Consider the following 26471-nt stretch of genomic DNA (forward strand, 5'->3'; position numbering starts at 1 on the left):
TGTGTACAAGATATTTTAGATAATTTATACTTGTTCTTGGGAAATAATAGTAGGAATGAGGTTAGACAAGAGCATCATTTTGATTTGGCCTGGTGATATTGATTTACATGTAGGAGAATTTGGCTTTTCTAGGTAAAGAATCATCTGAGCTTCACCACAGGCTGGTGAAGATACCATGCCACAAAATGGGGAAAGTGGAAGTATAGCTCTGCCACATATTAGCTAAGTAAATGTATTCAGTCTCTTGGAGTCCCTCTTGTTCATTTGTAAAATAAAGTGGGGTGCCTGCAAATTGCAAATGAGTTGTGAAGAACAGAGAAAATAAGTGTAAAGCACCTCCTACATGTGCCTGGTACCTAGTACGCACCCCTGAAAGTATGAGGTAAAGAGTGATTGCAATTAACACATAAAAATAGAAAAAGAAAAGCTTTCAAGATCAAGATGATACCAAAGATTCTCCTATATATGTTTCTAGGATGTGAGGAAATGAGAACTCAGTTCACAGGGGAGACGAATCTGCTTGTAAATCTCAGGATGACAATAGGAAGGGGGTTGGGTGAAGCAACATAGCAGTTGGCAGTGTTTTAAAAAAGGGGCAGCTTCTTTGCCAGAGAAGATTCAGTAGTATAGTGATTTCTTCTTTCTTTACCTCCCTTGACTCATCCACAGGAGAGGGAATTCAGACAAAAGGAAGCTTCTGTGGCAATCTATTTAAGATTCTCCTCATATAAGATTTGGTTCCCAGCCCATTTTCTGTCAGGCTTCCTGAGATGGGAAAGCAATGCATAAAAATTCTCAGGCTTGACAGTGAATTCTCCTGAGCTCCAGACTGAAATTTACAGCTGCCTGTAGACATCTCCATCTGCATGTCCTGCAGGCATCTCCAACTCTGTGTCTCAGACCAAATTAATTACCCTCTCATACTCGTTCCCCTCCAGTCTTCCATCTAGGTTAATGCCATTGCCAATTTGCCAGGCACAAAATCCAGAAATTTCAGTACTTTTACTTCTTGTCCCACACTCCCTGAGGTCTAGCTACTGCCAATTTTTGTGGATTCACCCTGTTGTGATCTGTTTTATGCACTCTGTTTTTTGACTTCCATTGTCCTGGTGAGGATCCTTATCCCTCTCCAGGACCACAACAACAGCAATCTATTCAGTCTCCTGCCAGGGCCTGCAGTGTGTACAACTCTCAAGTGCTCCACTTACCTAGGCTGTGGTCAATGGTGGCCCACCCACCCAGGAGTTGCAAAATAAGTATAACTGTCTCCTGGTCCCCTCTTTCTCACTTGGCTAATCCAGTTAAATTAATGAAATATTCATCATTTCTCTTTCTGAAATTGCTTCGGTGACTTTACTTTGGGCCTACAGAACAAAGCACCCAAACTCAAATTTCATTCATTTCCTGTCCCATGGCATCTCTTCAATCATTCTATGATCTAACCACATTGAACCATAAGTCATAACTCCAAAATAATGTATACTTTTTAACCTCAAACTCATGGCTCATGGAATATTTTCCATGAGCCAGCTAGACTCCACTGCTCCTTCTGATCCAGCTTGAACGCCATCTCCTTGGCATAGCTGCCTTAATTCCACTCTACTCCATCTCTTATTCTTAAGAAGGGCCCCACTCACTGCATATTCCCTTATTTATTTTTCCTGTGGTTAGCACAAGTGTCTCTAACCCAGATTCTACAGTGTTTAAGGACAGACATCATCTCTTGTTGCCATCTCTGAGTCTCCAGGGCACTTTGAATGGACTTTTAACCAGTCTAAAAATAATCTTCTTAAATTTCTACTTTTAAAAAATGGTGATTTTTTTTTTTAACCAAAGAAAGCTTTTAAAAATTCCCAAAGAAACAGTTAACAGTTTTGTTTGCAATGTACCCAAATAGTGAACTCCCTCAGCTCTACTGCATTAAATATACTTTTTTAACTCCCTTGCAGTTTTATTATTCCAGGTGCACTGCTACCATAAGAGGCTTTGTGAGCTACTGCTATAAATGTCATTCATTCCCATTAAGCAAGTGTATTATATACAAAACGATTGTCTAAATTTATGTTGACCATTCTAGAGGGTAGTGTATCAGGTAATACATCAAAATATCTGAGGTCTAAAAATGTAGAAAGCAACTTTTATAATTTGAGGACTTTTTATTTTACTGAGCCCAACATATTATATGCTTGCTCTTGCTGTGACTGTAAGACATATCAAAAAAAGCAGCAGCTAAATTTGACCATTATACAAATAATTCAAACAAAACTCATACATAGCTATCTCAGTTACGTGGGTATTTTAGGTGAAATTACAGGGATTTGGGGTATTGAGGAAGTTATTAAAAGGGATGCTTTTGGCTCTGATTGAACAAGTAATGTACTCAGTTTTCATTAAAATCTATGGAAGATTTTAAACATGGCAGTCAATTTCAAGGATTATATTCCTTAACTCATTTGAAGAGAATTTGAAATTAACTAAGAGACTCATAGTCTCTTAAAAATTAATAAGTTATAAAACTGTGATATGCAAACATTGAAAAGATGAACACAAATGGGCATATTTTTATATTATCTCAAACAAGTATATTATTTAACATTTAGGTAAAAAGCAAAAGTGAAAAATGGGCATCTTTTTGACTCTTCTCAGTGAAAATACATATTCTTATAGGTCCATTCCGGAGTTTGGAAATCAATATTAATACTTTATGCAATCATTCTTTCTCATGTTTTTCTCCCCTTGACAATCTTCTCAAGTGGCATAAGTGCTTGTAATGTATTAAAAAGTAGGCAGAGACAAATCATTACTCTCTAGAAAATATTTATTGACACATTTTAATTTTCTTTCCATATTCTGAGAAATAAACAAAATACACAAAATACAGTAAAATGCACTTTTCCCATTTCAAATAAATATACTATACTCTTGTAAAAAAATTTAATAATCTGTGTAATTTGCCACAGTATATTAATCAGTGAAATAAAACAAAGAATCTCTAAATTGTCACATGTTTTAATGATTCTCACAAGCATTTTTCTGGAGAAAAAGAACACTATTTTCTGTAGAATTTATATTGACTTGGAGACTATTGCTTCTTGTTTGGAGAAGGCAAAGATAAGCTTTTTAAAAAGTGTTTAGTGTCAAAAAGAGTCTTCATTTGGGAGAAAAACAGCATACAAGTCCTTTCTGAATCAACTAAGTTATGTGCAAATTTTCTTATTAATACTTCCTAAAGACCAGACTACATTCTGAATAATGATTCCTATGTATCACACTGGTAATTTTCAAAATTAGTGGTTAAGTATTTAAATAACAGTTATATGTGTAATATAAGCCCAGGACAGAATAGTAAAGCTTTATTAACAGGAAAGGCTAAAAATAATGATGCTATACAGGACAAATTTTCCTTTTCATAATGGTTATTCTTAACATTATCAGAACTGAAATCGACTGAATTATACAGATTTAACACAGACTTATATACAAAAAATCCCTGATCAGCTTAAGACAATGTGTTAGCTTGCTCTTTTAAGTGGTAAGAATATTTTAGTAACCAGCAAAAATCACATTTAGGTAGTCACCAATATTGAAAGTTTTCTGATATATAATTTATTTAGCATCAGAAGAATAGATCGCTGAGTAATAAAAGTTATTAGTATTTTCTAACTTCCTATGTTAGCATTTAATTAGTACTTTATATACTAGTTGGTAGAAGTAAATCAACCTTTACTATGGCTCCAGTCCCACCATATGTGACTCGTTTGCATGGATGCGGAAATGCTAATCAAACCATGCTGCCTCAAAACATAACTGTGTTCAGTAAAAGTCATACACAGGCTACACAGTGGGTATGACATCTGTCTTCAGCATTTTAAGGGCATCAATTATTGTCCAGGTGGTGACTTATGACATGAAACTTTTCCATCCTCATTTTAAAGCATAGAATAGTATATGCTTAGGTGTTATTTTATGGCAACATTTTTATTTCTACATATTTCTGAAACACATAGTATGTACTCAAAAATTCACAAGTCCAGTAAAACAAGTTTGTGGTTTTCTTCTGTGACATTTCTTTTTATAACTCCTCCATCTCAAAGTGTGTATTAAAGCTGTTTGCCATGGATGTGTGTTCAAAGATTCTTGACAGGCTTGGTTTCAACAGTTCTACTGAGGGACATGACAGGTGCTGAGAGTTGTCATTCTTCAAGGACATCATTTGGTCTGTCCCCGGCTCCCTTCTATCATAATACAGAGCCCAGAGCAGAGTAATGGTGAGAATCATGGCCAGGATTTGTGTCACCCCAATGGAGATTCCCAGAAACCTCAGCACCTGCAGTTGTTTGGTTCCTCTCAAAAAGGAATACATTTTCTTCCCACAACCCTGTAAAAGAAATACATGGTCAACATTACTTTAGATATGTTACAGAAGGCCAAAAATAGTTAATGAAAGCAAACAATCTGTATCAGTTAATGAAATCAGACTAACTGGGATCATAAAGTTTAAGACAGTGGTTCTCAGGGAAAGCTGATGAGAAGAAGGAGAGAGGGAGGTGTGTAGCTTTTGAAAAGCCTGTCCAGCTGATTCCAATGAGCCAACCCCTTCTTTTGTCTTTCTCAAAACCTGAAATTGAGGCCCACTGACATAAAACCCAACATCTAAAGCAGGGGTTGACAAACTTGTTTTCTTTTTTTAGAGAGACAGATAGTAAATATTTTGGGCTCTGTGGGCCATATGGTCTCTATGGCAACTACTCATCCCTGCCACTGTCACAAGAAAGCAGCCATAGATGGTAAGTGAATGAATGAATGTGGCTGGGTTTCAGTGAAACTTCAAACACATAAAAAGGCATTAGGCCAGATCTGGCACACAATGTTTACGATTTAATAATACTTAACACCGGTTTGGTAAAGTCGCTTCTCTGGCCGCCTTAACCTATTTGATACAAACACAAGAAATTTGCACAAACACAGACATAGACATACATTCTGTGGGAAACTAACATAGACATCACAAAGACAACTCACCAAAATTTAAGTATTTTACAAAGAGTTCCACTCAAGTATTCTATAAGAGCTCATTCACTCTTAGGTTTATGTGTTGTTTTAATAAGCATCTTTATATGACACAGTGATACAGGAGATAGAAATTATTTAGGCAGATAGTGAGGGTAAAAGAGTCCTCGGTGGAATTTCCCTTTTAACAAAAAGCAGCTCCAAAATCATTAATAGAACTGCCTGAAAAATTGAGCTGTAGACATAGACAAGCAAGCTGGAAGCTTGCACAGGTGAATGCCAGCAGCTGTGCCAACAGAAAAGGGCTACCTGGGGGCCACGTATGTTCAACATGGAGGGTCCATCGTCCCTTGTCTTTGTGTATACAGTAAAGAAACAGGTAATATGGTGCCAGCCAAGTAGAGGACCATCTGCACAATAAAAGATTAGGGTGGGGGGTGGCCAGATTTTCATGCACTATGCGAATGGTACACCTGATCTGACCAATCTTTCGTGCCCTGTGTAAATCAGACTCCGCCTCCTCAAGCTCATCTTTAAAACCTATTGCATTTTGCTGTGGACCGGAAAACCCACTCGGGAACCCTCTCTGCAGGAGAGAGTTCTTCTCTTTCTTGTGCCTATTAAACCTCCACTCTTAACCTCACTCCTTGTGTGTTCGCATCCTTGATTTCCTTGGCCTAAGACAACTAACCTTGGGTATTACCCCAGAGGAACGATGCCACTTCAACGGTATAGTATAATGGTTAAGATCATGAACTGCTATGTCATTTGGGGCAAGTTACTTAATCTCTCTGTGCTTCAGTTTTCTTGTCTAAAAACATAGATGATAATAGTGCTTACCTGTCTGAGATGTTGGGAGGATTAAATGCACAGACACATTTTAACACTTAGAATAGTGCCTCATACATGTTAAGAACCCAGTAGGTACAATCTCTTGTCTGATGTGTCAGTTCACAGATTAGAAAGTAGAAAGATCAAATTAAAAATAGATGGAAAATCTATGATTAGCAGATATTAATGGAAAAGTACGAGGCACAACACTTCATGAAAGAGTATGAAAACACCAGAAGCACAGCATTATGTCACCAGTGAGTACTTCTGCACAGAGCAAGGTGGCTGCTACTGTTTTACAGGACAATGAGATAACTGTCCAAAATGATTACTTGCTCCTGAGACATTAGATCATTAGCTTCCTGATGAAGCAGAGAAATATTTTACATAGTTCGGGAAGAGTCACCTCAAAATTTGTTAAGTTAAAAAGGTTTGGCTTCAGACATCTGGAAAATTAATTTGCATGGCAACTTCATTTAACATCATTACCAAATAATGTGGCACTATTTTCTCACATCTATCTTTGAAGAAATTGATATAAAACAGCCTTGGATCATGTTTAGCTGATTCCTTACCTATGTGCTCGGTACTTAGTACAAAAATGGACTTTTAGTGAATAATTAGCATGAATATATTAATATTTTAGTAATAATAATTATAATAGATTTCAGAATTAGAGGCAAACTGGCTGGGTGTGGGGGCTCATGCCTGTAATCCCAGCACGTTGGGAGGCCAAGGCGGGCAGATCACTTGAGGTTTAGAGTTTGAGACCAGTCTGGCCATCATGGTGAAACACTGTCTCTACTAAAAATACAAAAATTAGCTGGGCATGGTGGTGCATGCCTGAAATCCCAGCTACTCGGGAGGCTGAGACATGAGAATTGCTTGAACCCGGGAGGCAGAGGTTGCAGTGAGCTGAGATCGCCCCACTGGACTCCAGCCTGGGCAACAGAGGGAGACCTTGTCTCAAAAAAAAAAAAGATTTAGAGGTAAACCATTCAAGGATACAAAATTTCAGTTAGGAGGAATAAGTTCAAGAGGTTTACAATACAACGTGGTGACTATAGTTAATAACAATGTATTAGTTATTCAAAAAAGTAAGCCATTCAATAAATATATATGCCGATGATTCAACTCTGTGAAATGCTGTCAGTCAATTACTTGATTTTTACCCTTTCAATAGTCTCTGGGGCTTAAATTGTATCTATATTGGCTTAAGATCTCCTACCTCTTTAGACTAATTCATTTTAAGCTAAGAAACTGTGCCAGAAAAGTAATGTTTCCTTTTCAAATCTGTGAATAAAACAAGGCAGAGGTTGATAATTAAGTACAGTTTATCATGTTTCATATCTTGGCACTGTTTAAAGTCTATTTCAGTTTATCTTAAACAATCACATTTATTTTTAAAATGGTACAGTAAATTCTATCACCTAGGATGGCTGGGGAATGAGACCTATTAATACTGAACACTCTAGAATGGGAGGGGTCCTTGGAAGTCATGAATTCAACTTATTATCTTTTAAAAACATGGCAAAAAAGCACTTGTAGAGTGACATAGCAAAACTGGCATGGGAAGGACCTCCAAAGAATCTCTACTCATATAATCAATGAAAACACTGGTAAAAAACCTGTTAACCTCAATTTTTCTAGAATTCTGGAAATTAACCAAAGTCTTGCGGCAATCTGAGGAGCGTTTATTCACGAAAAGCTGCTGAATCTCTTAGGAACAGCAAGTGCTATGGAATTATCATTTGCCCTATTCCCATCCCTGCTCCCCTCAGCTGACTAGAAAGCCAAGAGCCTGCAATCCTGGTGAGAACTGGCAGCCTAGCCGCCACCAGAGGGCGCAGAATGGGGTTGCAGCTCCTTCAAGGCGCCTCTCCCGGAGGATTGCTACTGTATGGCTGGTCTGGCCTGGAAGACCCCACTCAGGAGGATGTCTTTATTTGACCTGAACTTGAAGCTCGACTAGGGAACAGCCTCCGGTCCCTCCCTCCCCAGGAGGTTACCAACGACAGTTAGAGGTAACTATTGATCTCTGAGGCTGCCTGAGGCAGTTGGTAACAGTTGTGCACATGGGGGCTTGACAAGCTCTGACATATTCGTGGAGATCTCGAAAGTTACACACATGAATAGGGCTGTGCTTAGGTTCAGGGGCTGTGCATAGTCCCAGGAAAGACCTGCAAAATCCTGAGATCTCTCCTCTGGCTGACCTTGAAGCTCTGTGCACCCTTGGTAAAGGCCGGGAGACTCACTGGTTCTAGGCATCTAAGGAAATCTCTGTTCATTCATTAACTGACCACTAAGCTAACTGAGTAGAAACTTCAATGACCACATGTGACAAAGAATACAGCCTTTACAGAATTAGTTTAGAAAATGCCATCGAACCGACAAATAAACACAGCAAACGCTGGAGAGGTGGAAAAGTCTGATTTTCAGAGCTGTCACATTATATTATTTAAAATGTCCTGTTCTCTTAAAGAAAAACAGTTATAAGACATGCAAAGAAACAAAGTATGACTCACAGGGGAATAAAAAAACAATGAATGAAATTGCAGTTCTAATGAGAGGGACTCCTCGCCTCACTAGACAGCCCTGTCCACACCGGAACAACACTAATTTTTAACAAGCACTCCCTTGTTGGAACCTGCCTTCTTTGTAAGGATGCACTGGTTCTAACTCTGCTCTCAACCCTTCCCTTTTCCATAAGGTAGACAGTCATAGCTGAAGAATCAATTATCCCTTTCTCTTTAATTATTCTCCTCTCTAGGCTAAATAGTCCTAGTTTTCAAGTTTTCCAAATATGTACACTTAATCATTCTGCTGATCCTTTTCTAGACTGTGTTGATTCTGTCAATGTTTCTTTGAAAATGACATTGATTTGTAACTTTAAAAAACTATAAAATGCAATGACATATTAAGACAATCAAGGTTATTGAAAATGACTTTGGATTCCAATGACAAAACAGCTTTTTCGGTTGCCCAGAAATGTAGACATGCAATTGTATTGACACATCACATAGTTGGGACTTGGTGTCCTTCCAGATCACTGGTCCCTTAAGATTATCTTCACACTCAGGTAGGCAAGTATGCTTTGTTCCAAGCAAAGGTCCTACCTAGTTAGACTCCTCCATTTATATAGCAAAATATCAGGTGATCATTTCCTCATTTTGTTTAAAAAGCATACAGGTAACTCCTCAAACAAGGCAGAACTTCAGTCCTCAAATTTGTCATCAGAATTCATTAAACTATATATTTTATGCTTCTCTATCAAGAGTATCTCCAAAAGAGGTGTCAACTACAAGTTGTCTAAAAGAAATGAAATCAGTTGACATCTCAGTACTGTATGTCCATCCGTCAAACCAGGTCACCAAAATATGCCAACTTGCAATATATTAACTTATGCCCTTGCATATTATTTTCCACCAAGGTGTATTTAATGACATGTATTGGAAAACACCATAAGAAACTGCTCTATAAAATTTGTGAAAAATGATATTGAAGATATTTTTTCTCGATAAAGTAGTAGATATAAAATCCCACTTGATAAAATATTTAGAATTTTGCTCCCTTTGAGGTTAGAATGTTTGCTCTCCTAACATTAGAATTATGGTGATGATTGTACCTCCTTTTCACCTGAGCTGTCAGAAAGCTGAGAGGCAAACAGGACACTCAACCACAGTAACTGTCTGTCTTCATGTTAAGCACCTCTGCTTACTCTTTCCTTTAACTTTGACTTTCCAATTCTGTTTATATTTTATTATTAATTTACTGTATTTTTGTTGTATGCTGCCCTATATCCTTTAATAAATTCAATTTTAAAAGATACAGAGTGTAATTATATAAGTAAAAGCACAAATTTCTCTATAGTACATGCAATTAAATGTTTCTTTGCTGACTCATTAGGCATGTAGAAACTTGCAGCAGACAGGCGTTGATATAATTAGTACATTTGTCCCCACCCAAGTCTCATGTTGAAATGTAATCCACAGTGTTGGAAGTAAGGCCTGGTGGGAGGTGTTTAGATCATGGGGGTAGTTTCCTCATGAATGGCCATCCTCTTGGTGATAACGGAGTTCTCCCAAGATCTGTTTCTTTAAAAGTGTGTAGCACCACCCCCCATCTCTCTCTCCGGTTCCTGCTTTGGCCATGTGATGTGCCTGCTGCCGCTTTGCTTTTTGCCATGTGTCAAAGCTCCTTGAGGCCTTCCCAGGGGCAGATACCATTATCACTTGCCTTTCCTGTACAGCCTGCAGAACTTATTTTCTTATAAATTACCCAGTCTCAAGTATTTATTTCTAGCAATGGAAGAATTGCCTAACACAGGTGTCATGCTGAATATCAGTGAATCATTTTCACAAGTACTTAAATTTAAGAACCAACTTTCCAAAGAATAGCTCTCTTCTTGAGAGGACAGTATTTTTCCAGATTTGTCTGTATAAGATGATTGACCTCCTCAGTCACTCTGTAAATTCTTCATTGAAATAGCTCCAGGGTTTTCTGTCTGTTCTGAATCACTCTTATTGAAGTAATTCAACCTGAACATAACCCTGAGCATATTTTGAGCCAGTCAAATAATTATGCATAAGGTTTACATTTTTCAGTGTAAACTTGTCTTGAAAAGTAAGACATTAAGTCTAGATAAAAAACATAGATGTGTTTATATGTATTTATTATACTATTTATAGATATCTAGCTGCATAAACAAACATTTCTGTAGAGTAAAAAGAGGAGGCAAATGATAAAATTCAAAACTGCATTTCATTTCATAAAGAGTATTTTATTCAGAATAGGAAAGAACTGAAGTGTACTTATTTGCTTTTCTCAAAATAAAACACTGAATTAATTTTACTTGAAAATGTTTTCTTCCTAAATAAAGCTAGGTTAGCCCCATGTTAATAACTTCAGATAATGCAAAGGTATGAATAAGACATGTTGGCTAACCTACTTTACTTGCTACAATATTAAAATTCTGGTCAACTATTAGCTGTAAATAATAACACTACCTTTATCAGAGAAAAATCACAAATCCCCTACATTTCCTGGAATCTATTTGAAGCCATGTCAGGATGCCTCATTTCACTTGAGGAAATTATACACTTGAAATTATTCTCTGATCTATCTCCAAAATGAGTTTCTAAAATTGGAAGAACACCCATGGCTTTTCAGTACTCAATATTCACAGGCCACATCAAAAAGTCGGGCAGCCTTTTAATGTGCTTATGAAGATAAAGTGTAAATAAAATCTAGGTGCCAATACATGCCAATATTAATATTTTTGTAAATAAACATAACTCTCATTTGAAATAGCTATATTGATTATCAGATGAAAATATACAGTCTTCAACCCTCTTTCTTCTAGAATTGAAGTAAATGACAGCAGTTAATGAGCTCACAAGATTTAAACAGGTTAGACCAAAAGTTCTCCACTGATAATCTTAAGCTCTGCAGGGAAATAATGCTTCCTTTAAAAAAAGCAGCAAGCAATAAAATTCACTACAAGACTTTCTGTTCTTTAGCTCTCTCTTAGGAGAACAGAAAGATAACTAAATCTGTGCATAGAAAATGCAGTAGAAAAAAGTCATCTTATTATTTCTTGATATACGAAAGGTCCTCATATCTCATTTAACCCTCGCAATATCCCTATTACATAGGTAGAATAACGAAATGTAAAAGACTGCATTTACTGATCATTTTTCATTTTTACCAAAAAAAATGTATTTACAAAGAGGCTAGAGTCAGAAAACCTGGAAGGCTTCTTGCTCACTAGTGAGGCCAGTTCCAGCAGCCTGAAGGAGCAGAGTTTATTCACAAACCCCTCCTGCAAATATTTTCTCTCTTGGGGGCCCATTTGGGCACCTTAAATTTGCATCTATAAGAAGTTAGAGGGTGTTAAAACAAGCAAAGTGAAAAACTGGACCAAGTCCCAAAAACTTTGACCTGAAAATCTACCTTCAGCAGCACAAACGCACATAACCAGAAAATACACACTTCACTGTCATTTCAAGCAAAACTAAGGACAATTTAGTTAGTCAAAAATCTAATCATAGATCAATAAATTTTCTACTTACTTCAGTAAATACCTTAAAAAATTGTTGTTATTGTTGTCATCGGCTACCACTGTGGTAAGTGGTATACTAACAGTTTCTCATGTCGTATCTCAATTTATCTTTGTATATTACAGTGATGTGGGTACTATTAATATCTTAGTAGAGATAAGGGAATTGGGATGTAGAAGAAAAAAATCTCTACACTCAGCTTGCTCTTTACCATGTAGTCACCATCTCAAAATTTTAGTATCTCTGCCCTTAAGTGTTGGCAGGTCACAGAGTTCTGTCCCTGGCTGCATACATTGCATCATTTCCTTGTGTGGTCTTATTTCCCTCCATACCTTCATTGCCTCATGTACACTGATGACACCCGTGTAAACTTAGTCCATCCACCCACTCACCCACCCAGTCTGTCCTCCACTTGATCCACAGTAATTAGTGTTTATATAAGAACATAGCTTCTGGCTGGGCACGGTAGCTCACGCCTGTAATCCCAGCACTTTGGGAGGCCGAGGCAGGCGGATCACGAGGTCAGGAGACAGAGACCATCCTGGCTAACATGGTGAAACCCCGTCTCTACTAAAAATACAAAAAAAATTAGCCAGGTGTGGTGGCAGGCGCCTGTAGTCCCAGCTGCTCAGGAGGCTGAGGCAGGAGAATGGCGTGAACCTGAGAGGCGGAGCTTGCAGTGAGCCGAGATGGCGCCCCTGCACTCCAGCCTGGGCGACAGAGCCAGATTTCATCTCAAAAAAAAGAATATAGCTTCCTAGCCTGACCACATTTCCCAGCCTCCCTTGCAGCTAAGCAAAGCCATGTGAGTTCCTGCCAATAAAATCTGAACAGTGGTGTTAAGTGTAGGCCTTCATGCATTGGGAGTTCTCTTTCTCATTCTCTTTCTCTCCATGACTGGAACTGGAGAAAAACAGGACCAACTTTGGAAGACAAGATATTTAAAAGGCAAAGTTGTCTCATCATTCTGGCCCCTGGATGAACTTGTGCAGCAGAGCTGCCTGGCAGCATAGACTAGGTCATTGGTCTATGAAAGAGAGATAAACTCCCAGCTTATCCAAGCCATTGTATTTTGAGTTAGCACTTTCTTTAATTAGTACACACACAAAATCCATATCTCTAGCTGAGTTCTGCCTCCGAAGCTCATATTGCCTCCTGGGTTTCTGCACATGGAATACCTGACAAGAACCTTAAATCCAGTATTTCCAAAATGGAACTACTCAACTCTAACCACTCCCTTCAGTAAATGGCTTCCTCACTGTCAGAGTCCAAATCAGAGTCAAGAATGCTTGCAACTTCCCTGTCGTTCACTCCCCACAGCCAATTTATAACCCAGTCCTGTTCATTCTGCCTCTGACATATCTTTCACATTCATTCCTTCCTCTCCATATTAAATGCCACAACCTGAATTCCAGCCCCTACCATCACATGATTTATCTGTTAGTTTCCTACCTTAATTTCCCTGCCTTAAGACCCAATCTTCAGCTTAATTTCCCCACCTCAACTCATTCTCTACAATGCCAATAGCATGATGTTTAAGCTTAAATCTAAAATTGTTATTTCGTAAGGTACTTTTTCAGGTCAAAATATTATCATGGCTTTCACATCCATAAATTTTAAGGGCAAAATTTGCAAGTCTCTACTAATAGAGTCCAAAAGGAAACATTGTTTGATTGAATAGACAGAATAGAGAACAGGAAACTCACAATTGAATGATGTCGAGAAACAGAGTGAAAGAAAAGAAGAATGCATTTGTATACCTGAAACAAAACTGGCAAAATAGTTCAAGTCCTGATTCGATCAAGCAAAGCCTGAAGATAAAAAGGGATCTTCCCCCCTACCAAGCCCAAATTGATCCTGCAGGGCTTTGAATGATAAAACAGATACCACCGCAAGTCACAGTCAACCAGATCTCATCAGCAGCTACTTGCAGAGGAGATAATGAAGTCAGTAGAGAGACAGGAGGGAGCATCTTTGACTTTATATAAAAGAACCCTGAGAATGGAAATTCTTGGGGATATTCCATCTAAATAACCACTGAACCTGCAAACTGCAAACTGCCTACCGTTGACTATCTGAGCAGGAGGGTTTACGGATGTTTATCTGAGAACAAAGTTTCATTATTAAAAAATCAGAATCCTATGACTACATTGTCCTAAACCGTCTTTTTATAGTAATGCCTCAAATTTGTGAATATGTTTCCCTTTTTATTTGGCAACTATTCGCAGACTTCAGTAAAAAATGCCCACATATTATCAGGACATACAGGAGTCTTCAGAATCCAATCCCTGCCTTCGGTATCCCTGTAAATGTGGCCCTTCTCACACCCTGTGCTCCAGCTGTGCTCTCTTGCTTCCAGCTCTAACTTTGCCCCATTATTTCTTGGCTGGGAATGCCCTTTTTCGACCCTGTGCCACCCTAATATTTTCTGCACGTGGCTTACAGCTACTTATTCTTTAAGATTAGAAGCCCAAAGAGTTACTACCACTACTATGTGTTCCCATTGGTTATCTCAATCATAAAGACAATAGCAATTAAGGATTGCCTGCTCTGTATCAACCTCCTTTTTTTGGTGCCCCACTTAAATATTTTCTAATTCCTACCTTTTCTTTTAGCCACTGATGTGGGGAATCTGTTCTATGCAGACTTGACCAACTTCTATGTTGGTGTAACTAGCCAGTACCTAGCTGGAGGTCTAAGCTATGACTTCTCACTCCCTGCCTTAGCCTTCTCTTTTAATACTTGCCCCTAATTTTTTGTTTCAAGTGTGGCAATTTACTTGGTCTGAAGTAGAATCCTACTAATAACCAGAGAGCTGGGTTGTCTGGGAAAAAAAATAGTTGACCTTATAACTAGGTGGAGCTTGCCAGAAGGCCAAGTCCACTCCCAACCATGGCCTTTTATTCCCACAACACTCTGTCAGATCTCCACTTACGGCTCAGGAGTGATGAGGAAACATTTATTTTTAATATATTTATTATATTAAATATTTATTATAATATTTAATTTATTTATATATAATTTAATTTATATATAATTTAATTACATAATTATTTTTATAATTATATATAATTATTTTTAATTAATTAATTATATATAATTAATTATATATAATTATATATAATTATATATATAATTAAATATAATTATTTATATAATTATATGTAATAATATAATTATATATAATTATATATATAATTAAATATAATTATTATATATACTTATATATAATTAAATATATAAAAATATATAATTAAATATATATAATTTAATTATATAATTATTATATTATATTAAATATTTATTATATTTCATTTATTTATATATATAATTTAATTTATACATATAATTTAATTAAATTATATATAATAAATATATTAAATATTTATTATATTTATTTTAATATATTAATTATATTAATATTTAATAATTTAATAATTAATATGATATATTACTATTAATTAAATATTAATAAATATTTAATATATTTATTATATTAAATATTTATTATAATAGAATGTTGTATATGAAAATTACAAAGCAAAAGTTATTTCTATCAGTCAAAACAAACAGACATACTGTATTGGCTCATCTTTCTAATTGGTCAAAGATGTTAGCAGGAAAGGAGTGTTAACAAAAAGTGTTGAGAACTAAAATATTGCCCAGAAAAAATAATATTGGTTATAAAACAAATATCATTTGCCAAGGACAGCAGAGTATAGAGGAGACAGGTGAGAGCAGTATTTCTAATCAGGATGAGGGCTCAGAGTGTGAATTCATGAACTCAAACATCATACAACACTCAACGGAGAGAATAAAACCCTCAAACAGCCCATCCCACATGGTTTACCACTGATACAGTTTCTCTCCATGACCAAACTCTGTTCAGGCTCCACTGAGTTCTTTTTCAACCGAACCTTGACGTTTGGACTTGGTGTTTGTCTCTGCATTGTCCAATTTTAGCAAGAATCTTGGTAAGCTGGTAAGAATGGTGAGATTCCCCATTCTTCATACTTGATCATCCTTGATATCTAACTGGCTTCTTCCTTATCCACCCATCGTCCAGCTGACGTCTGATCACCCTGGCCTGCCTTCAGTACGAATCTTGTTAGGTAAGGTTTGATAGAATCCCATCCCTCACCACTATGTTTCCTCTTAATGATTTTCCATCCTCTGACCCCCAACCTGTTCCTTGACTATAAATTCCCACTTGCCCGTGTTGTATTCTGAATTGAGCCTAATCTGTCTCCCCCACTGCAAGACCACACTGCAGTGGCCTTATTCCTATCCCAATAATCCCTGCTGAAATAAAGTTTTCCTTATCGTTTTTTTTTGTTTTTTTTTTTTGAGACAGAGTCTCACTCTGTTGCCCAGGCTGGAGTGCAGTGGCACAATCTAGGCTCACTGCAACCTTCACCGCCTAGGTTCACCTCCCAGGTTTAAGTGATTCTCCTTCACCTCCCAGGTTTAAGTGATTCTCCTGCCTCAGCCTCCCAAGTAGCTGGGACTACACACATGCACCACAGCGTCCAGCTAATTTTTGTATTTTTAGTAGAGTTAGGGCTTCATCATGTTGGGCTGGTCTAGAACTCCTGACCACAAGTGATCCACCCGCCCCAGCCTCCCAAAGTGTTGGGAATACAGGCGTGAATCACTGTAACCGGCTCCTTATCTTGTCTTTAACAAGTGTCATTAAATGATTTTTTTTTTCTTTAGCAACATGAGCTACCCTCACTTTTAACCTGTAGGAGCACCTCTACAAGTCTGTTTACCTTCTGTGAGCACTGGTAACCCATACACATTTGTCATCATGGGGTTCTTTTTCCTGTAAGCCAAGACTCGGAGAAAAACGTCACATCCCTTCAAAATCACACCCCCTGTTGTTCCCAATTTCCTCTATTTGTCAATGTTTTCTAGCATTGGGAGAAGAAATAAATAAACTTCTAAAGAGGCATAAATGGGTTTGTCAAAGTGGAAATTATTAAGAATATTTAAAACTGTAACCCAACACATGGAACACAGAAAGTCTGAGGGTCTAAAGGAAAAGTGTCCCAAAGGCACACAAGTGTGGAGGACATGTCTGTGTCCAGCCCTTACATAAATCTGTGGGAATACTACTTTTCTGAAGAAGCAGCCAATATATTTGAACAGTAGTCTTTCTTCTAACTACTAGACAAAGAAATGTGTCTCTGGAGGTATATTTTAGTTGACGTTCTGTCCCTCTTTGTTTTACATTTTGAGTCAGTCCATTTGAAGCAGGGCCTATTGTGAGCCTGTTTACTTCCATTTATTTTTCTTGAGGTAGCACACAGAGGAGTAAAATGGCATTTCAGCCTTTTTGAGGGGCTACTTATGCTAAGTTTCCTATCTGAGACAGTAAGTGCTGCAACTATTCTTTACAACTGTGTTTTCTTATTCTCTTACATATGGAACCCCAAGAAGAGTTGAGGAAAGCTATGGCTCTTATTTCCTGGAAAAAAAATGGATATAAAATATTGAAAACAATTTTTGCAGTATCATTTTTTCCTTGAAGTCCATCCAAGAAGAGCCCTGGTCCATGGGCAAGAGGTTGAGTGTCCCAGCTCTATAAAGACTTATTTTCTAACTGCTGTCTTTTATGTCTTTTATTTATGCTTCTCTTCTCCAGATCAAGTCAAGACACTGCACTTCAGTAACTGATATGATGAAAAACTCAGCAGGTGAGAGAAGACAAGAGATACCATAGGCTTGTGCTTTGCCAACTTAAACTCTGAGTCTGATATTTTGCCAAGGCCAAGTCTTACACCTCGCATTTAGAGTGTGGTTACACAGGTGATTCCAAAGAACAGGGGAGTGGGCTGTCAGTAATCACGGGCCCAGACCACCCAAGGGTGGGCCTTTATACTTGCAGTTTCCTCGGCCCAAAACACTGTTCCCCAGCATGGGTGCTTACTTTTTGTCAACTGGTCTCAGTTCACATATCACCTCCTAAGAGGGCCTATTCCTAACAATCTATCTTAAGTAACTCCCTCACCAACAAAGCTCCAGCACATTACCCTGTTCAGAGTCTTCAAAGTGCTTACCACCACCTGAAATTATTTTCTATTGCTGTTTTTTTTTCTTGTTAAACGTATGTATCCGTAACTAGAATATAAATTACATAGGAGAAGAGATTTTTGTCTGCAACACTCTCTACTATATCCCTAGCATTTAGAAGAGCAAATGGAACCCAGTAGGCAATCACAAAATATTCTGAATGAATATTGGTTATCGTATCATCATTTTGAATGAGTGAATGTGATAGATCCAAACTGAGGGTCAGAGGTATTTTCATTATAGATTTTTAAACCTATACTTTAATACAAGTTTGTAGCTTATTATGGATATTTGAAGAGCTGTGTGCCAAACCTAACAAGGCTCCTGAATGTTTCTAAATGTGCAATTGTCGCTATATTTCTGCTGTCATTTTTCACAGGTTTCCAAATGCGTCATAAAATATTATTGGGTCAGGGACCATGCAGGCTACCAGATGGTTGAGAATGATTTATTTCCTTGACTTCAGACTACTGAAGAATGATTGCAGGAAAAAAGCCAGTTTTTATCTCTGAGCTTACAGAATATGAAAGATAAGAGAGACCTTGCGGTTCATCTAGTCTGGATTCATTCTTAATTTAAAAACCCATTCTACACTACCAATGACATGGTTATCTGACCTTGACTTCAATATTTTTAGTGATGAGACACTCATTATTTTACAAGATAACCTGTCTCACAATTGGATGGATTTTGATGAGCAAGGTCTTCCTTCTATTGATTCAAAATTTCCTTCCTGTAACTTCTGGCCCTTGGAGCAACAACGTGTAAGTCTAGTTCCTGTTCTGAATTATGAACTTTGAAATATTTGAACACATCTCAACTATCTCCCTTCAGTGCTCTCAACTTCTGAATAAACATCCCAAATACCTCCAGCTGTTCCTCACTTATTTCTCCTTTTGGAACCCTCATCTTCCTACTGAATGATCTCTGGACACACCGTAATTAGGAAACATATGTTCTCCAGGGCAAAGTAGAATTATGTCTTATTTTTAATTATGGATTTAATTGTACTTATGCCATAAAACTACTAAATGATCCTCTTTTGTAAATCAACTATACATATAATTGCATACTGTATAATTACCAATATCAGCATATGTTATTAGTTGTAAAATGCAAAAGCAGGTTACTCTGATATAATAAGCCCCCATCTTAGCTGGAAGTCTGTGTCTAAAGAACATCTCATGGCTGACAATGCCAGCTTGCTATTAAAATTCTTCAGATAAAAATATGAACAAATTTCAAAATAATCTGGGCTATCAACTTGCACATGCACAATAGTATGGCTTGTTTCAATTTCAAAATTCATGGAGCAAGCAATTATAGATATCCTAAAAGTAAAGCATCCCTTTATAAAGTAGTATTATTAGTGAAAACAATCTAAGAAAAGCAGTGAGGATGAATTGCAGTTTTACAACAATAAAATTATATTAAATGTTTAATGTGGAACAGTCTTCAGCTAAATAAAGCAAAACTGAAGAGAATTAGTCCATATTCAGACTTTATGGGAAGATCCGGTAAGTTGATCTCATGATCAATAGTAGTTATAATCATATCATCAGTATTAATCACTAAAGCAGATACAAATTATACCATAATGTTGTGGCCCAATAATTGTCCATATTGACTCGCTACCAGTAAAAACTAACAAATGGACAATTCACACTAGGAAATTTGGTAGGTTTCAATTTACACATCTATACTTCTAACTATACTGTAGCCATCTGTTCTTTTAATGTCTAATAGTAAGTTATAGTATATTTGAATATCCATAATATGTTTATATGTAATACTACCTCAGAAATATTAGTACTGTTTTCCGTTTTATGGAATAAGCAGGAGTTTGCCGCATTTATTAGTTGATGATTCCTACTACAGACACTAGCCAATATTCAGCTTTCACCCAAAACAAAAGAACTAGGTTCAGTGCCATAATCACTGAAGAACCTACAGACACTAACCTACAACAACTTTCTGTTCAATAAACTATATTTTGTATATTCCTTTTCATTCAAAGCCAAATGTTTCTAAACAAAGTATGTATAAAACAATAACATCCAAACATAATGCTTCTCAGCAGTGTGAGCATGACAAAAAGTATTCTGATCATCTTTTAAAATAAAAAGCCTGAATTATTCAACTGTTTGAATAATTCTTGTGATTGGTTGGATTATGTCCTCCCAAAATTCGTATGTTAAAGAGCTTAGTACCTCAGAATGTGATCTTATTGGAACATAGGATTGTTGCAGATGTAACTAAGATGAGGTCCGACTGGAGGACAGTGGGCCCCTTGTCCAATATGACTGTTGTTCTTATAAAATGGGAAAATTTGGAGACACACAGACAAGGAAAACACCATGTGAAGATGAAACAGATCAGGGTGATTTTTCTAAAAGACGAGGAACCAGGAAAATTGTCAGCACACCACCAGAAGCTAGGGGAGAAGCATGAAATAGATTTCTCCTCATGGCCCTCAGAAGGAATCAACCCTGCTGACACCTTAATCTTGGAGTTAGCCTCCAGAACACTGTGACAATAAATTTACGTTGTCAGAGCCACTCAGTTTGTGGGACTTTGTTATGGCAGCTCTAGGAAATTATAACAATTTTTAAACTCCTAAAAAATACTTGGCACTCTCCTTTGGGGCATGCCTTCAGAGCCCAAAGCACTTTATTTTGGATATCCTTAAATGGTGACATATTCTTGTCTTCTGAGATATGAGTAACAGCCCAGAGTTACTCATATCTATGAATATAATGGATCACTTGTATAGGTAGTACAGCATTCTTTTAATTAATTACAACATCCAAATTAATTAATTTACAATATAAATTGACTGCCCATCTCAACAACTGCCTTTGGCAGAGAGTCTAAAAGATGTTTTGAATGGTAGTATTCTTAGGAATAAAAAGCATAACCTCCTAAGATAACCACCTTGAAATATATCAAAATGCAGGTGTTATAAATCCTGTTGCTTTGTTTTAAATTTTCATTCTTTATAGCCCTACTATATATACATGAGTTATATTATGAATAGTGTGAGCAGTGCCTTGTGATACCAGGTACTTGACAAGAGGTGTATGTGGGGAATGATCCCAACCCCTTAGCCTAAGCAGTTTCCTTTCTATCTGATTCACATTTTACATTTCCATTCTAGATAAAGACTGCCTAACAAAACTTTATGTGATGATAGAAATGTCTTACATCTGCATTGTCCAGGACAGGGGCCACTAGTCACAAGTGGCAGTTGAGCACTTGAGATGTAGCTAGTGCAACAGAGGAACAGATATTTTAATTTTAATTAATTTTAATTCAAATGGCCACACGTAGCTATTTGGCTGCTGTAGAGGACAGTGCAGTCTTAGATTTTAATCTGAAAATAGAATTTTACTGCTAACAAAGTCTGAAAATAATCAGTAAAAATGAATGAATAGGAAAACTTCTGCTAAAATGGAGTAATTGATTATTCTGATCAATTCTCCCAGAAAACACAAGTATGTAAATTTCCTGGCCACATGAGGATTGACTTTACCGCCACTGAGCATAAAACTTAATCAGTGAACTAAAACTGACATCACTAATCATTAGCCAGCAGGGGGAGCTGGAGAGTAGCATGGTAGCATTTTCTTTGGAGAGGTTCTTTTTTTTCCCCTTCTATGTGTTGGTGGTCTATGTGGAGGCTCTTAAAATACGTATTCTGTCCAGGAACTCCAAACCCTCTGCTTCTTGCACATCCAGTGTTAGCTACATACTCTGCCTGTGTCTGTTTCAAAGGATCCCCAAGCAGTAGGAACTTGATTCAAAACAAAACAGTTCAAAATCCAATTAATTACAAAACCTGGTCTTTCCCACTTCCCTTTATTAAAATGTGATTAATGTTTAGATTTTTATATTGTTTTTTAGCTTTCTTCTGCTTCTCCCCATATTAGAGAAAAATTTTAAGGCCTTTTACATTTAGACAGAGAAGGAAAATTTCATTGGCATATTGTTGATTCTTTAAAGTTATTCCTAAGAAAACATTTATCCATAATAAATTAACCATATATGGCCTCACCTCTTGATAAAGGTCACTGAGATCTTCCTGGTGGGCCTGTTTGGAACATCCTGGGAATTCTCTAACACAGCAGGAATCTGGGGGCCAGTCCATCTCTGTCATTTCCAACCAGTCAGTGAAATATACTACTCCACAGCACTTAAACTGCAAAAAAAATCACTAGTCAGCCTCAGAAACCACAAAAATATTTTCTTAACTTATAGGAGATTAAACATCAGTTTTTTAAAATTTTTGTACCCAGAGCTATATCTGTCATCACCTAATGATATATGTACAGTCTATGTTGATGATAGAAATGTAGTAAAGGAACACCATGGCTAACGATTGCATAATGGAAGTATTCTGAGTAATAATGCCCATAACACATAAAAACAAATCAGGCATGACTGAGACTCACTCCCTAACTGTAAGCTCATCTACAAGTGACTATACATAGCAACAGATTGAACATACACACTAACAAACCCAAGTAGGTGACACTTTAATCATTAAACCTCTAACCACCAAAGGCCAGTTAATCAAATTTTTCTATTGCCCAACATATTCAAATATTATATTAAAAGTTTCTGTAATCTTTGTAAAAACATGTGTTGACCAAAGCCCACATCACAAAAAGTTAGCAGACATCGATTCCTTAGCTAGTAAAATATCCAAAAACTTTAAGAAATAAACATAGGTCTGGCCAACTGGTGTTTATTCAACTGAGTAAGATTCTTGAAATAAATGTTCATATTCTATTACCATAATCTCAGAAGAAATGGTGTGTGTGCCTTTAGCTTGAATAAAATTGGATTTAAGAAAAACTATACTGACATTTTTACTTTTTTATCTTATTTCTCCAAAGATTAGCAAAAACTGTCTCTGATCAAGGTTTGGAAACACTGCTTAAGGACCTCTATAGATTAGATTCAGAACAATTAACTATGATGAATAATTTTCTGTCCTTGAGTGGAGAAGGAGGTTGCTCTTTCCCCTCTAGCCAGAAACAAGGACTATGGGCAGTCACTGAGAACTTTGCCAAGAGTGACTGGCTATGCAAATTATGCAGTCCAACAGATCAATCTATGTCCAGGTTTGACATTGCATCATAAAATATCACAATCCCCCACCATTTCAAAATTTAACTAAAATTAACTTTGAAGAATTCCGAACTTCTCATGCAAAAGGAAACAATGAAAATACCACAAAGTATTTTGCGTTGTTACACTGGCCTAAATGTCTGATTTTTAAACAGAAAAAAAAATCATCTTAAGAGTATTATAAATGACGAATTACTGAAAGCTATGGGTAATACTGAAATTTTGAGAAACTTAAAAAATACTTTATATATATTTTTCCTTTTTAAACTTGCTCTCAAAGTCATGAGTATACTATAAACATCACAAATTTAGTCAATAATTTGATGTCACATATTTTACATAAGACATTAAATATCCTTAAATAATATATGTAGTATAAAGACTTCACTTCATAAAAATCATAAACAAGGAAAGGTTAACTTTCCAAGTCCATCTTTTTAAATTCTTGCACTCAAAGAAAATCCATTTGTCTCCTTTGCTAATGACATGAGTCCTTTCTGTGTTGATGACAGAACAGTTCTTGGAACTCTCTAGCTCCATCCAGCAAGGAACAGCCTATTTATATGGCTTTGTCAGGAAATAAGATATTCTACATAAATGACTTTCTCAAATATAAGTATATAATGTTCTTTCTCATTATAAGTATACGATGCTCAGTGCTGAACTTACTTTTATTTTAGAAAGCATTTGTATATAATTGTCCTTCTTCAACAGAAGATAATGAATTTATTCTGAAACTTTTTCTGAAAACTCCTTTAAGTAAGCCCAACATCATACCAACATATTACTGTGGTCTACATCTCCTTGTCATTTTCCTGTCTACTTTAATATCATATTGTGAGATAGTACTACTCTTGCTAATGTGTCAAGCTCTAGAAAATACCATCCATTTTACATATGAGTAAACTGAGGCCTTTGACAGTCAAGTAGCTTGCTAAAGTTACAGGCCAGAGTGTGGCACAGTCTATTCCAAAGCCTATGCTCCAACTACTATGTTAAAATAAATAAATAAACACATTTTTTAAAGTTAGTATTCTAAAAACGTATTAAACAAACGTCACTGGGGCTTAAGTGAGAGTCCGCTAAGTTGCGGTATGTGCATAGAATTGCACTGAATGAGGAGCAAAGGAGACTGGCACCTGATAAAGTTGCTTTCTGCAATACAGGTTATTCTAGAATTGGGTCCCCCACCCAAATGCATATGTTGAAATTCTACCTCCCAGTACCTTAGAATGTGACTGTATTTGGAGATAGAGTTTATAGAGATTGTTGAGTTAAAATAAGGTCATTAGGGTGGGCCCTAATCCAGTATGACTGATGTACTTATTAGGAGAGGGTATTTAAATATATATATATATTTAATATATATATGGAAGACATAGTGAAGACACAGGGAGAAGATGGCCATCCGCAAGCAGTCATTGCAAACTAATATAAGGGATATAAGGGATTTTAAAAACCTCAGGTTCTCAGAAGTCTTCACCATCTCCATTTACATAAAATAGTCTTATGATAATGGAGGAGGAAACTTACCATGTAACAAATCTAAAAATAAGTGTGCTATCATTTGCAGTACTTGTACATTGTCCATCTAGGTGCAGCTTCCATCAGAAAAAAACTCACTTTGTTTTTTAACCTGGATTATCACTGTCTACATCACAAATTCCAGAAAATAACGAGCTCTGGGCAGCATCTACTCAGGACAGTAGCTGACATAACTTACTATAAATTTCCTAATGCTTATTTTCTCTTTGTGTTGTTTTTAGCACAAATATACAATAAATAAACAAAGTTAGGAAGCACTTAAATAAACAGGAAATCTGTGTTACAATGATAATTTTTACCATCTCAACAGTTGTACACAGCCAGATTTGGAGATTGTCCTGGACTTGAACCTCTGCCCATATCCAGGACAAAGTAAGTGAGCAGAGATCTTGCTATCTATCACGTAAGACACTAATTCTCAAATGCTTTGCGGCCTAGCACTAAGATAAATTAAAGGAAACTGAAATACTTATCCATCTGGGAATGTCACTTCAATCACAAGGAAACTGCTTGGAAGAAGAGCTTGGTTTGAAGCAAGATCAATGGTTAACTCCAAGTCACCAAATTTTAAACATCTGAATACAGTCCCCACTTGAGAAGATGGTTGGGTGCAGTGCTACATGGCGGTTAGGTAAGAAATGCTAAACGCACCTATACTTTGTAATGTTATTGTTAATAACCATAGGCTAAATGAAATCGCATCATTTAATCTTCTTAACAACCTGAAGAGAGAGGTATTTTTATTATCACTATTTTAAAGGTGAGAAAACCAGGACTTAAGGGAGTTATGTAAATTATAGAAGCTCACTTAATAGCAAGCAGCACAGCTATGATTTTAACCAAGGTCTTTCTGAACAGATCATGCCATTAATGATATACTGACTTCAAAGTCCCAAATGAGAACAATCATTTTTTTTAAAACTAAAATTATGTTTAAAATATTGAGAGCTCTAAAAGTCATGAAAAAATCTATTTGTCTGGAACTTGGATATTTATCAAGTTAACTCTCATAAAAAGAAAACTTCACAATAATTTAGCAAAATGGCTTTTCAGATGTTCTTAAATATATGTGAACCATGTGAAATAAAGGGGAAATGGTATACATGGGAAGAAAAGCAGGCCATGAAGTTACCTAAGATATTTTTCAAGAAATAATTGCACCAGAGGTTACTGAATCACAGGCTTAATTTTTCAGCACAGAGGAAATTACCAAAGCTAAAGCTTTAAACATCTGGTTTGAAGGTGCACCACTTACTTCACTCTCTCTACCTCAGAAATTGTAGCACTTACCTCTCTCTGAAAAAAATTCCAAGCATGAGTAAGCCACCGATATCTAGGTAATCCATAATTTGTCATCCTGGCTTTCAAAGTGACCATATCTGACCATTGTACTGGAACCTGGTGATAAAAAGCAAAATATCAACAGCTGTAGCTCACACACAGACACAGATTCACACACACACACACACACACACACACACACGTACACACGCATACTCGGAATGTCTTCTAATTGACAAATACTATTTTAAATTTATATTTGCTCATGGCCTAAATTTAGCTCAGAGTATTCAATGTAGTTATTGGACAATCTCAATGTATAGATTTTTGTGATAAATGAAGAGGTATTTTGTACTAAGGAAAAAAATGAGAAATCACTTTAATGCTCAAGGAAATCACCAACAAGTAATTAACTGTACATCCCACAGACATACTGAAGACTTTCACATAACAAATAACCTCTGCAGAGAAATGTCCTTCATTTGATTTCAAAATGCTATGAAGTTGTTGCTCTTTGAAGCAACTGCAGATAATAGT

The 26471-nt window shown here is 36.6% G+C and overlaps 1 protein-coding gene across 5 annotated transcripts in view, besides 2 other annotated features; it reads right to left on the bottom strand.

Annotated features, from left to right (window-relative positions):
* Positions 2801–26471, bottom strand: part of TSPAN12 (tetraspanin 12) — a 71016-nt gene continuing 47345 nt past the window's right edge. For all 5 annotated transcript variants that reach the window (XM_047420096.1, XM_005250239.4, XM_047420095.1 and 2 more), the window contains 3 exons: positions 25944–26051; positions 22030–22173; positions 2801–4378 (listed from right to left, as the gene is read on the bottom strand). In XM_047420096.1, coding sequence (XP_047276052.1) covers positions 4073–4378; positions 22030–22173; positions 25944–26051 — 558 coding nt within the window. In that variant the 3' untranslated portion in view covers positions 2801–4072. The remainder of the gene's footprint in view (positions 4379–22029; positions 22174–25943; positions 26052–26471) is intronic.
* Positions 7556–7850: an enhancer, noted in NCBI's record as "tiled region #15278; K562 Activating DNase unmatched - State 12:CtcfO". NCBI's record gives its function as "activates a minimal TATA promoter and a strong SV40 promoter by Sharpr-MPRA in K562 cells {active_cell/tissue: K562}" and the evidence as "EXISTENCE:reporter gene assay evidence [ECO:0000049][PMID:27701403]".
* Positions 21535–21584: a silencer, noted in NCBI's record as "silent region_18572". NCBI's record gives its function as "represses an Ori minimal core promoter by ATAC-STARR-seq in GM12878 lymphoblastoid cells {active_cell/tissue: GM12878}" and the evidence as "EXISTENCE:reporter gene assay evidence [ECO:0000049][PMID:35858748]".

The sequence above is a fragment of the Homo sapiens genome, chromosome 7 (assembly GCF_000001405.40).
Source record: "Homo sapiens chromosome 7, GRCh38.p14 Primary Assembly".
Lineage (NCBI taxonomy): Eukaryota > Metazoa > Chordata > Mammalia > Primates > Hominidae > Homo > Homo sapiens.